The sequence below is a fragment of the Homo sapiens genome, chromosome 21 (genome assembly GCF_000001405.40).
Source record: "Homo sapiens chromosome 21, GRCh38.p14 Primary Assembly".
In the NCBI taxonomy this organism is placed as follows: domain Eukaryota; kingdom Metazoa; phylum Chordata; class Mammalia; order Primates; family Hominidae; genus Homo; species Homo sapiens.
The window spans coordinates 32,638,836-32,652,933 of NC_000021.9; the positions used below are offsets into that span (position 1 = coordinate 32,638,836).

The window sequence follows — 14,098 nt, forward strand, 5'->3', positions numbered from 1 at the left end:
TTAAAATAGGTATGTTCAAAGACTAAATCATATGCATCAAAGATAATATTTTGTGTAACAAATGAGACTTACTTGCGGTTGTGAGGAAGCTTCTGAAGGCAAGCTATGGGATGACCTGCTTCGAGGTGGTGGTTGTGGTGGGGTTTCCAAATTTGGCTGGGGGCCAGACTGAGGCATAGGTGCTGCCACAGGGACAAGAGGCTCTTGCAACCTTTGAGCAGGCGGGGGCAAAGAAGACTGCGGAGGAAAAGCAGCCTGAGGCTTCAGTGGTTCAGGAAGGAAAGTTGAACCTAAAAAACCAGTGGTTGTCAGATGTTAGGTATATTCTAGAAAACCATGTTTTTTTCCTTCTTTAGTGAAATGTTAGGAGAACATTCTAGTTATTTCTTCCCCCAATAAGTAGCCTCATTTCTTGTGGTATAATGAAGGAAGGATATAGCTATCTGAATATATGTTGTAGAAGGTGGGAGATGACAGAAGGAAAAAGAGAAAAATATACAACAAAACCAGTACAGTATTTCTAATATAGTATCTACCTTTCTTTTCTCTCAATTTTTAAAAATTTTTGATTTTTGAGACAGGGTCTTGTTCTTTTGCCCAGGCTGGAGTGCAGTGGTGTGATCACGGCTTACCACAGTCTCAACCTCCCAGGCTCAAGTGATCCTCCCACCTTAGCCGCCCGAGTAGCTGGGACCACAGGCATGTGCCATCACCCCTGGCTAATTTTAAGAGTTTTTAATTTTTTTACAGGCGGGTCTCACTATGTTGCCCAAGCTGGTCTCAAATTTCTGGGCTCAAGTGATCCTCCTGCCTCAGCCTCCCAAAGAGGACCTACCTTTCGACGTTTCTGATGTTTTGCTTTGGCTTTCAGGAGTCAGTCTTCCAGCAGATGCCCGCGCGTGGCTCTGTGGGGCACTGATAACTCCAGCACGAGGAGGAATCGTCTACAGATAGGAAACATAACACTTGAGACATTTACTTACCTTCCACAGGTAAAATTCTGTGAAAACATTTGCTTTTGCATCTCATTTACTTTCTTCTATGGTATTAGTCCCTAATTTGTCATTTTAAGTGCTCTCTACTTGAAGCCATTATAATGATGAATTTTAAAATCTTCCTGTTTACTTCTGACTATTTACTATGTGCCAGACATTATGTTAATTAAGTACTGTACAGGCATTTCCATTTCATCTTCAAAATATCCCTCAGAAGTAGGTATTATTTTATCATCTCTATTTTAAATTAAGATGAAGAAATATATACAACTTGCCCAAAGCCACACAGAAAGCAGAGCCAGGATCCAAACTCAGGTCTGACTGGCTGCAGGGCTAGGGTTCTTAACCATGTGCAATGCTGTCTTTATGGGGAAAACTGGGATGATTTTAAAATATACAAGGAGATAGAGAGATACATACCTGAGCAACTAGGAGACTTTGGGGAAAAAACACCCTGAGATTTGTTTTTTTTTTGGTTTTTTTTTGAGATGGAGTCTCACTCTGTGGCCAGACGGGAGTGCAGTGGCACAATCTCTGCTCACTGCAACCTCTGCCTCCTGGGTTCTGGCACTTTCCTGCCTCAGCCTTCCGAGTAGCTGGGACTACAGGCGCCCGCCACCACACGCGGCTAATTTTTTGTATTTTTAGTACAGATGGGGTTTCACCATGTTGGCCAGGATGGTCTCGATCTCCTGACATCATGATCCACCCGCCTCGGCCTCCCAAAGTGCTGGGACCACAGGCGTGAGCCACCGTACCTGGTCAAGATTTGTTTTTTAAGAGATGGGGTCTTGCTATGTTGCTCCAGCTAGACTTGAACTCCTGGGTTCAAGCGATCTTTCCAATGTAGTCCCCTGCGTAGCTGGGACTACAGGTGCATGCCACTGCCACCCAGCCATATATATTGCTTTTAAACACAGAAGTACAACTTTTGAATGACTAACTCAATATTCCGAATTAAATACACTGAAAGACTCATCAGTGAAAAATATTTTTTCTATTTTCATATGTTTGCTGAAGGATCTAAGCTAACAATATTTATTTTAAGCAAAATATGAACTTTTAAACTCACAAAAATCCTGACTTTCTTTTCCTATACTTATGGTATTCAACAGAATCAAGAAAGTTCTTGTGCCAAGTGTGGTCATGGGATCAGTGAATGGCAAATTTCCCTTTTTTTGAAAAAAGGAGGATAAATATTTGAAGAGTAATATTACATATAAAAAAGAACCTTCAGATTGTTAAGTGGACAGCTACAACAGAAAAGACAAAAAGCTTCTATCTTCATAGGAAGTGGTTTCCTCAGTTCTCACAATCTTAATAATCTTAATTTCTAGGTACAGTAATAGCTCTCAGTTTCCTACTCTTCAGATATGGGCCTCTCAGTAGTCCCAGCTCCTACTGGACTAGCCTAAGTCACTGATTACTGGTTTCTATTTGCTCTTTCTCTCTGTTCTTGATTACCTGTTATAGTCCAGAGAAAGTTTTCAAATAATAAAAAACCTATGTGTATAAGAGAACATATAAACATACAGAAAAGACACATTCATCAGGTAGGGAAAAATCCTGTAACAACATCTACTCTCCTATTTCTAATACCTTTACGGAATATGATGAACCTGATCAAGAAAAAAACCAAAAAGAGAAAAAAACCTTTAGAACCAGTTTTACTATACTGAATTTATCATTTTTTTTTCTGAAATGTAATTAAAATCCTTTTTAATGAAGGATTACTTTATATCTTCATTAATTACTCAGGTAAAATGATAAAAAGCTGCCCAAATCCATCATTTCCTCATATACTGAGACTCTTAAGATATTTATTTAGTGACCATAATTGTTTTAAGTGTATCACTTTTATCCAAATAATGAAGTTTGTTATTTTTGAAGAGTATGTTAAAATAATGTTAGAGTCGGAAGATCATCAAGTGCAATTCCCTCATTTTAGAGATGAGGAAATTGAGGCCTTGAAGGGTCACATGATTTCTCCAAGGTAACAAAACTGACTAGTAGTAAACAGGACTTAGAACCGAGACCCCTTGGCCCCAGGCGAGGTTTTACCTACCGGTCTGGCTGTACTGTATCCAGCAGGTCCTGGGCCTGCAAGTCCTGCTTGAGGTGAAGGCTGACTGCGTCCTGGAACAAAGACATCATATCATATATTTAAGTTTAAAAAAATAAACAAGAAACCATGTACTTATATTCCAAGTGTCTATTTCACGGTCCAGTTTTAAGGGTGAATAGCTACATTCAAGTGTTTTTACCTATATTATCTTTCCTTGTTGTTCCAGGGCTTTTGGGTGCTTTGAAGCAAGAAGGGAAAAAAAAATTAGTTGTAAGTTAACAATTAAGCAATATTGCATAACATCAGCTTGCTGTTCTGCTTCATTACCAGCAGAAATGGGGGCATGAGATGGTAACAAAACAAAGCACTTTGCTTTGTATAATGATGAAGGGTATTATCAGTCCTGAATGAAATACTCCAAAAGAGAGAAAAATTACAATATTTAGATAGACCTTTATGGGAGACAAGTGGTGACTTTAGTTTGATATCTCACTCATGGGACCACTTTTAGGGTGGCATTCCCCATAGAACTCTCTCGTGAACCTTGAAAACATACAGTCAGCTGTGTGAATGGTCACAAGATGCGGCACTGCTGCCCCTTAGAGTCTGGCAGACAAGTGGCTTCTGAGCAACAGACAGGACTGCATTTGTCAAATTACACAAGAGGCTCCTAGTAGCAATACTTTAGGGCTTCACGCTGTAGATGTCACTGTGGATAAGGTTATCTTATGATGAGATCTTTCGGATTTCTATAACAAAATCCCATCATTAAGACAGAAGACAGGCATATGTTATTACCAAATATCTGCCTTATGGAAGACAGTGTTAAAAATATGTTCAAACTCATTAGAAAGGTAGCTGAAGGATAAAATGAAATAAATTACTCTTGGAGCCAAAAGGAGTAGGAGTGACTATCAAGGGCAGCATCTTAAATAAACTCTCCTTTTTGTAAAGAAATTCAAGTACAATTGTTATAAGAAATACATCAGCCTTTTAATAACTAAAATCATAACAAATGGCCTCTAGTCTTAAAGGTCTTTTAAACAAATCTGGCTCAGTGCTAATCTATAAAATAGCTATGTTATCTGAAATCAACTACAAAATACTATATTCTTGGATCTGAATTAATAGGGTTTAATTATAATCATTAATTTTTAAAACTTCAGATTAGTAAAGTACATTTCTAAATATTTTACTTATTCTGAAAAGAATTTTGAAGACATTCTTAAACAGTAATTTCACAACCTGGGCATATATAAACTATATATGAAACAGAGTACAAACAACATTAAGGATCTCAGGGAAATTAAATGGATATCCATTAGAAACTATAGGTGACATAGAATGAAGAGAGGAAAAAATACAAGGTATACATAAGGAGGGGAAAGAGAAGTTTACAGCTGGACCAAGAAAAGATTTAGTATGCCTGCAAACACTGCGGGGTGGGGAGGTGGGGCGCTGACACTGAGAAATAAAATGAGAGAACCACTTCTATAATGCAAGAGTCTTGTTACCTTCCATCTCTCTCCTAGCTACCCCAGGACTGGGAGGGGCTCCAATACCTTTTTAGAGAAAGAACAGAAACTATATATTGTTCAGGGCCCACAGCACAGAATGAAAGGCAGGCACACAAGACAATTTCCATAGTAAACTCACTTTTGCAAAAAGGCTCTTTTATTGCTTTAAATTTCTTCAAAGATATCAATACAAACCAAAGTGACTTTAGATGCTTGGCCCAAATCTGAATCCTCCCTTTACTCAAACAGAAGAGTAGAAACAGGATGACAGTTTTCTTTTTATGTATGCAATTACTACCAGTAGGGAATTTAAAAAATATGTTTAATGAAGACCTTTGCTTTAAAAATCATCTTACTCCTTATATCCAGAGCAAGTAAAAACTCTGATATTTGATAGTCAAAAGGAAAGAAATCATAAATTTCTATGAGACTACGTAAGTCTTTTGAAGTTAGTTTTTGATGCATTAATTTTAAAAACTCTAATGTACTATAATGACGTAAAGGAATTATTGTTTATAGGATGAAAAAACATGTTGCAAACACTACTTACAAAAGAATTATGAAGGGGAGCAATTTTTAAAATTAAGACAGATTTCACTGTAATCCACTGGCTTGCCTAACTTTTGACAGATTCATTTTAAATTTATTTTCTACAGGATGTTTTCCTAATTAAAGCAGAAGATAAGCAAAAATTATCATGGAAATTTAAATAAAAGCAGGAGCTTGAAAAGGGAAAAATTAAATGTTTTCTATAAAAGCAGGAGCTTGAAAAGGGAAAAATTAAATGTTTTCTGTAGGTCAATGGAGAAATGATCACTTAGCTGTATTCGGCAGAAGCTGTAATGCTGAAATAATTTAGCTATTCTTATCACACGCAGTCATTAAGATCTACACACAGGCAAAGTCAGTCTGTAGTAAGACCTGAATTGCTCAGCCATGTCACTAGGCAAGCTACAATAGAAACAGACCAGGCTACACATGCACAGTGAGCCTTAGTAACACTGGATTTGTAAAAGTTCTTCTGAGGAATTGTGAAAACTCATCTCATCTTTTCTTGAGATTTAGATTAAATAAACTTGTCAAATGTATAACTCCAACTGAGCTCTGTGAGTTTTCATGTAAACCAAATAAACTATACTTCAAACAAAAAGTGACCCTTTGTGAATAAAAATTTCCTTATGAAGAAAGGAAAAGAAAATCATACAGTTCTTTGCTAATCCAAAAGCTTTTCCACTAGAAAATAAATGTATCACTAATCAGATACTTGGGAAATGTTCTGTATTTACTGTACCTGAATGACTTTTAAAATTAATATAACTTTTGGGTATTAAATCTTTGTAAATGAATCGACCACATTTATTAAAAAAAAAATTAGGCCTGATGAACAATCCCAGCCTACCTGGGAAATGAAAGCCTTTATTAGTTTTATTTGTGGATTAGTTTTAAACTAGAATGTCATTCATTTTGACTTTTATCAAACAAATCTAAAATGTCTTTCAGGTGTAAAACATTAATGAACCACGATTCACACATGCTAACAAATGTAAATGGTTACCTCCAAATTCCTTTCTAGTGGGTGCAGGACTCCTAGCCCCTTATAGTTCATAAGAAAATAGGCAGCAGAAAGGAAATGACATTAAATACAGAAGTGAAATGTCAAAGATTGCTATAGTATCCATGACATCAAGTATCATGCAGGAATTACATATTATCTACGTACTACAAAAACTATTATTCAATGCATATGCTTATAATTGAAGTAACAGCACTATATTTAATTTAAAAGAACATTAAACAAATACATACAATTGTACATTAATACGTATGCTCTCCAGTTTTATTATACTTTTACAGAAATTAGTACATTTTAATTATTTTATGCTTATAAATCATCCAGAAATGAGGATTTTGAAAAAAATTAAACCTAATTTTACCTAAGAACAGTTTACATGCCTAACTAGATCAAATTAGCAAAAACAAAATAAACCTCTCTGGCTGGCTGGTGAGAAGGCAGCTAAAGGCAGCTGTGAAAACACCTTAGAGGAATCTACTCTGCAAACACTCTACCTTGTCTGTTGCGCCTACCATGTTCTTTAGAGAAAAGCTAAGAAATAGCAATAATGATAGAAAAAACTGTAAAATCCAGAAGCTAGAGATTGGAAAACATGCAAAACATTTTAAAATAGAGTGAAGAATTTTACATCTAGCAGAAATGGAAATAAAAGGTTGTCACCTGAAGGCGGAGGAGGTCTCTGTGGGGGAGCCGGGCGTGTGGGAGGGGCGACCGGGCGGGGCGGCGGCGGCCGCTTGGGCTCCAAGGGCTGGGCGGGGTCTTTCTGCGGCAGCGGCGTTGCTGGCTGCGCGTCAATAGGAGAACCTAAAAAGCGCACAGGAGGTAAGAAGATCAGCTTCTAAGTAGCTGTTGACAGAAGGGAACAGTCCTTCATATATATGTGTAATGTTCTATAAAATGTGCACAATGGTGTAAAGAAAGGGCATGTATTTTCAGTATGAATAACAAAAGCAGTCTACTATTAAACTGCCCTTTGGTACCATGGCAGCAATAATGCTACCTCTGTGCTGACTTCTTACCTAGGCCTCAGGTGCTGAAAGCTAATTTACTAAGTGGCCCTATTGATATGCACAAAGTATTGTTTGAGTTAAGCCATTTTGTAGTCTGGCCAGTAGAGAGAAGAAAAAGCTCAAATAGTTAACGGGTTCATACCATAGAAAATCATCAGTTATAAGACATAGACAAACCTAACCACATAGAAAAAAGATTAAGAACAATTGTCATCTAGTGACAGTTATAGCAAGTTTCCTTTCCATTGAGAGCTTATCATCTACAAGTTTTCCTATTCTGTACCGGAGAAAACAGGGTGCACTTTATCACCTAGGTATGAAACTTAAACGATGACTCTCCAACATCAAGCACATTGGCCACAGGAAGCCATACAAAACTTTCAAATAAAATGCATACTCTGTGCACTGGGAGGCCCAGGAGTTCTTGACGGTGCTCGGCTTGGTCTGATGGGAAGGGAAGGTACAGGACCCTCTGATATTGTAGGTGACTGGCAGGGACTAGTTCGGGGTGAAGAGCTGGGGGAAGTACCAAGGCCGGAACTTGAAGATGGCTGGAGATGCTGAGGAAGAAGTTCCTCCACTTCAGCACTATAGTCATCAACATCACCTAAGGAAAAGCAGGCTTGATCAGAGATAACTCCATTTTAACTTGCTCAGAGATTTTTTTCACCTTAGGTTTTAAAAAGTTAAAATACACAAAACAAATATGAACATTATGTCATTGCAAACACACATGGATTAAGCATGAAGGCATGTATAAAACCACAATTAGTAGAAATGCTTGTTTCAGAAGATGTAAAGGTATCTATTGTCTCTGAGCAATAAGATGTCAGGTGACCAACCACTTGGAGCTGGGGTGACCCAATGGGCTTTCAATATGCCCCAGAGCAGCTTCTCCAGTGCAAGCCAACTCAAGTTTCCTGCTCTCCTTCCAAACCTGTCCACTGTGCTCTGTGGAACTGCCCCACTCCCTTGCCTAACCCAGGTCCAGCCTCAGAGTCAACAAGCTCTCAGGAGCCACACAGTCTTCCCCCAGAAGGCTCCTCCCTGCAACCCTCACCCCACAAAGACCCGCTTTGCTTTAATTAAGTAAACACTGGTTCTCCCCCAGGGTCTCCTCATCTCCACTTACTTCTGGGTAGGAAAGTGGGCACAAGGTAACCCTTGCAACCTAACTGCCATTCCAGAACATTAGTCTTCCAACCCTGAACAAAAAGTCCTACTGCTCTGAGGCTATGCCATCAGGAATTTATGTAACATCCTCTACCCCCACTTGCTACAGTCATCTCCAACGTCCATTCTTCCATTTCCTGAACCCACTCACTGAGGACTAAGCAGAGAGCAAGACTGTAAGTCAGGTCCCGCACCATCTTTCTGCGTGGCATCAAAGTCCATGTGGACAACTCGTTCAATAGCAAAATGCCTTGGTCCTATCCTTATGGACATTCGCCTTCACTCCTAACCCTCACCCCTCAGAACTGCACTCTTCTGAAATAATAAACTCAAAAGCTTCACTCTGACTTTGGCCTCCCAGCTTTTCAGTTCTCTCCCTTGGCTACTCCTTCTCTTTTGATTTCTTCAGAAGCCAGGGTTTGATCCCTCTAACTTTTACCTCCATCTGATTCTGCTTTCTTCTGTACCTACCTTCAGATTCTATGGTTCTTCATCTCAAACATTACCCTACTTCACTCTTCTTCCATTGCACGTGCTTGACATAACCCCATCCCTGCACTGATTCCCCTGTTTAATCTTTCTGTGATAACACTTGGATTGCTGACTGCCTCTGCTAAAGAAAACCACCCAGTCCTGACAACTGCAGTCACATTTGAAATTATGCTTTTCAGTCTCTTCTGGCCTAAAGTGCCTGGCAATTCCATGATTTGCTGGTTTGCTCTTCCCCTCACCCTTTGCTCTTCAGGAGCTTTACTGCAAAACTCCTTAACCCTCCTGAAACTGTGAGCTGTCCCACTCCTGCAGATCACTTCAACACTTCACAGAGAAGAGGGAAGTCTTAAGATGGGAACCCCTACTTCAACAGCCTGCCCCCAAGCTGGAGTCTCATTACATGGTTGTCACTTGGGTATCTGAGGATGGAACAAATGGGCCCCACCCAGCCTAATTTTCTCAGTGACACTGCTCTACTATTCTGCCTTGCCCTTCCCCCAAACCATCAGCCCTTTCTCCTCTACTTTTCCATTAGCACTGTGCATTCTCAAGCCTGTCCCATCCAAAACCACCACCCTAGGACCTCCAATCTTCCTAGAGCAATTGCCCTCTTCTCTTTCCCCCCAAACTTTCTTAAAGAGTTGTCTACAGACACTTTTCTCCACTTCTTCACCTTCCATCCATATCAATTTACCACTATCTGACTTCATCACTTCTGAGATCACTCTCATGAAATGTCAACAACAGCTTCCCTTCCTGTTATTAAATCAGAAGGACACATTTCTGTCCTCATTTCTTCTCATCTTTCTGTGTTACAAGACACCACTGACTACTCCCCTTCCATGCTCCACTTTCTTTCCTTGATTTTTAAGCCATGAATTTCTCTTGGCTCTTTGACATTTCTAGAAACAATTGCCATTGTTTCTTCTCATTTTCTTTTCACGGGCAGCCTTCTTCTGTCTATATTTAAACTCTGTGTTTCCACATACTCAATCCCAGGTCTGTATTTCTCCATATTCGATTCATTCTCTTCTGTCTCGTCATAATCCTATTGGCCAAAGTTATATTAACAAATGCCCATGCTTTGCAGGCTATTAGAGCTGCCTTGACTCCAGAGCTCTTTCCTGAGCACCAGACTCATGTTTGACTGACTCCATGAACATCTCAAATTCAACATATCCGAAACAAAATTCATCTTCCATCCCACACCTACTTCTCTCTCTGCATTTCTTTTCTTCATTTACTCCCTCACAAACATCCCTCCATAATCCATTTGGATCCTCTTTATCCCCACTTAGACTGTGCACATGCTTTCTTCTTGGATCACTCCTCTATAGCATTAATTCCATTCTCCCTGAGTCTTTGGATTCTCAACTTAAATTTCAATTCCTCTGGGAAAGCTTGCCCAATTTCCCAAATCCAGGTTAAGCAACTTTCCCATGAGCTACCACAAAACCATTCATTATCACATTTATGTCACTTTATTATAATTGCCTGCTTACTTACACGTAACACCCAATAAGCTATGAGTTCTGGAAAGGCAAGAACCACAGCTGTCGAATCTCCAGCACCCAGCTGTATCTGGCATAAAGGTACTACATAAATATGTGTGGACTGAGTAAACAAATGAACAGATAATGTGAAAATGAGATAACCTTGTAAGACGTTCAACTCTTAAATGTGGTACCTAGCTATACAGGGCATTACAATATTATTATAATCTAAGGTATGCATTTTAATGAAAAACTGGCTAGAATAGCATATTGTGTTAGAAAACAAATGCATTTAAAAATTTTTTCTTTTGATAATGTTGCCATCAAACAAATGCATTTTTAAATCATGTTTAAGGAAATTTTCGGCGTAATTACTTAAATTCATTTCTGTTCTTAGAATACCCTTTTGGAACTTCTACTTTTTTACCTCAACTTTAATTATTGGGACTAAACCATACACCAACAATACTAATTTGGGTATTTATCCAATAAGAATATAAATTAACATTTGTAAAGGTCTTAATATTTGAATGGAAGAATGGTAAATACATTTAAAGTATACGCAAAATAAACACAATATGATGTGAAATAAATTTGTTTTGTTTTGTTTTGTTTTGAGACAGCCTCGCTCTGTTGCCCAGGCTGGAGTGCAGTGGCACAATCTCGGCTCACTGCAACCTCTGCCTCCTGGGTTCATGCGATTCTCCTGCCTCAGCCTCCTGAGTAGCTGGGATTACAGGCATGCACCACCACGCCCAGCTAAATTTTGTACTTTTAGTAGAGACAGGGTTTCGCCATGTTGGACAGGCTGGTCTTGAACTCCTGGCCTCAGGCAATCCACCCTCCTCAGCCTCCCAAAGTGCTGTGATTGCAGGCATGAGCTGCCGCACCTGGCCAAAATACATTCTAATTAATAGTGCTATGTACGTCCCAAGAAGAAGAAGAAAGATGAACTTGGAAAATAAGACTTTACAGATTGGAAGAAAACATATCTAGAACTACAAGAAGTAAATGTGTTTAAGAAACAAACCTTCCATATCAAAATCTGCTGCAACCTCTGCATCTTCACCAAGCAGGGTAGAGCTTGTTGATGATGGCAATGCAATGCTAATTTTCTCTAAACTCATTTCTTCTTCCAAATTTTTGATCCAGTCTGGACTTTTTAAAGCAATAGTTATAGTCCGATTCAATAACTAGCGGAGTAAAAGAGATATAAAATAAAGATTAACATGAAAGCTAACTAATTTGGAATAAAGAGGCTGACTTCGTTAAACTATGCAATGGTATAGACAGTTAATTTAGTTAGACAATTCAGCTAACTAAAGAAATAGTTCTTTCACATATACTAAATTTCAAACTAGTTTAAAGGTTGTTCCCAGTTCTCCCTTTAAACACCTGTGGTGATAAATAAAGATCTTTTCTAGGATGCCCAGAGATGCAAGTTTCCTTTGCTACAACCACTATGTTTTCCTGGCCAGATGTAAATTCACCAACAACTCTGCTACATAACTTTATACTTTCTTAATTTTGATTCACAGATTAAGTAATTGTTCCCACGTGAAACAACTACAAAAGAGACAGCAGAAAATCTTTAAAATGCATTTCCTGTTCCTGTTCATTTGGTCTTTCCTAACTTGGCATATGGTCCTAAGAGCTGCTATATTGTCAGCTGCTAAGTGCTAACCTATACAGTTTTAGCATTTCAAATGTCAGAAGAATATTAAGAGAACTGAACACCATTTTAAATCTTCAACAAAAATTAATCATTCTAAAAACAGAATGACTTCTACCTGTGAAACTGGCACTCTGCCTTCTCTATAAATTTGGGTGACTTTTAGACTAAAGTATAATCTAAGACAACCAAGACATTATAATCAAATTATAGCAGATCGTGTCAATGTATTTAAAAAATACTCTCAAAAAAACTTGCTGATAACAGCAAGACTCTTTGGTCAAGGACAAAATGTGCACTAGAAAGGAGTTCTCATTTAAAACCCATATTCTTATAACAAACTTGCTTTCTAAATTTAATCTCTCTCCCACATAGTTTCAATTTCCTTTGTTTGAAGAGTTTCTTAATGTGAACAAGATGTGAATATTTTTGGTATTTGCAAATGAACTGTGTAGCTGTGATCAATATGCTGTGCTGACAGTTGGCACCTTTGTGGGTACAGATCTTCCTTGGCTCAAAGTGTTACTGATATTAGAATTCCTTGAAGGCATAATAATGGAGAGGTTGAAAGTTGCTGAACTGAGTGGCACAGCTGTGTTTATTAGTAATTTAGCATCCACACTGAGCTTTAAAGTCAGAATCCTAAGAATTCATAATCCTTTACTTGCCAAGTAGATATGAGTACTAAAATCAATCCAATTTCAGAACTTAACACGCTTTACAAGTCATATATTACTTTTCAAAGTCAACAAAATTCTTTTATATTCATCAAAAAATACTAACAAGCATTCTTAAATACCTATCACCATAATGGCCAATTAAGATGTAATTCCTTAGGACTATCCCCTTGGTAGAGACCAGGGCCAAATGAAAAGGAAGAAATTTAGAAGACCAAAAAAATATTCAAAAAGATACATAGAGGTTCACTGGAATATTGGCTTTAATAATTAAGAATAGGAAATAATCTAGATGTCTATAGGAGTTTGGTTTAATAAATGTATATATTTATTCACAAAATGAAATTAATGAAGCCATTAAAAATGACATATTTGTTTAAGATGTCCCTGACACAGTCATAAGAGGTAGTAAGAAAATAGCTTTATAACACGGTTTCAATTTGTGTTTGCGTATATGCATATCCCATTTGTGTTAATGTGTTTGTGTGTATATAAAATCCCATTTGTATTTACATATGTATATGCTAATATTAAGGTTAAGAGAAATTACTTCAGAATGGTAGCATTATGTGAGTGGTCTTATTTTTAATTCTTTTCCATGTTTCCTGATACATGATTTTACATGAGTATACTAGTATTACATTTAGGAAAACAAACAAAACTCTACAAAACCTATTTCAAAAGCAATACACACAAAGAATTTTTTTTTTTTTTTTGAGACAGAGTCTCGCTCTGTTGCCCAGGCTGGAGTGCACTGGTGCAATCTCGGCTCGCTGCAACCTCTGCCACCCAGGTTCAAGTGATTCTGCTGCCTCAGTCTCCCAAGCAGCTGGGATTACAGGCGCCCACCACCACGCCTGGCTACTTCTTGTATTTTTAGTAGAGACAGGTTTTTGCCATGTTGGCCAGGCTGGTCTCAAACTCCTGACCTCAGGTGATCCACCTGTCTCGGCCTCCCAAAGTGCTGGGATTACAGGCGTGAGCCACCGCACCCAGCCTAATACATACAAAGAATTTTTTTTCTCCAAAGAAGTTGATGTGACAGAAGAAGCAGCTCAGGACAGTGCTCACAGAGTTGCTCAGTGCTGCAGGAATCAGGCCTAGAGTACAATCCATCTTGTGCACTGACTATATACTTAGAAATTTAGGATTTGGGTCTAAAGGAGTTCAGAAAAAAATGACAGATGAAGCACTTCAGAGAAGTAAAACTATTCCAGGCCAACAATGTAAGTTTCCGTCATCAATGACTTTTCAAATCACAGGTTAGGAATATCTCCATTTGTTAAAAATTTCTAAAATACTTCAATGGGATGGATCTGTTATCTCTGGAAATTAATTTAGTTATGTTTGAAGAAGATAACTAGGTAAGCCAAGCCAATGAAACAAATTCCTAGGAATAATGAGCACCTCTCTCCCTTGTTTTCTGGTACA

At 38.3% G+C, this 14,098-nt stretch overlaps 1 protein-coding gene across 24 annotated transcripts in view; it reads right to left on the reverse strand.

The window, feature by feature from the left end:
• SYNJ1 (synaptojanin 1) overlaps positions 1–14,098 on the reverse strand; it is a 99,636-nt gene that overhangs the window by 10,077 nt on the left and 75,461 nt on the right. For 10 of the 24 annotated variants that reach the window (XM_047441038.1, XM_017028499.3, XM_047441037.1 and 7 more), the window contains 6 exons: positions 11,349–11,511; positions 7,558–7,767; positions 6,811–6,954; positions 3,061–3,131; positions 836–944; positions 73–290 (listed from right to left, as the gene is read on the reverse strand). In XM_047441038.1, coding sequence (XP_047296994.1) covers positions 73–290; positions 836–944; positions 3,061–3,131; positions 6,811–6,954; positions 7,558–7,767; positions 11,349–11,511 — 915 coding nt within the window. Of the gene's footprint in view, positions 1–72; positions 291–835; positions 945–3,060; positions 3,132–3,259; positions 3,299–4,574; positions 4,623–6,132; positions 6,172–6,810; positions 6,955–7,557; positions 7,768–11,348; positions 11,512–14,098 lie in introns of all 24 variants that reach the window. The other 14 variants (XM_017028497.3, XM_047441034.1, NM_001160302.2 and 11 more) reach the window with 3 other exon arrangements.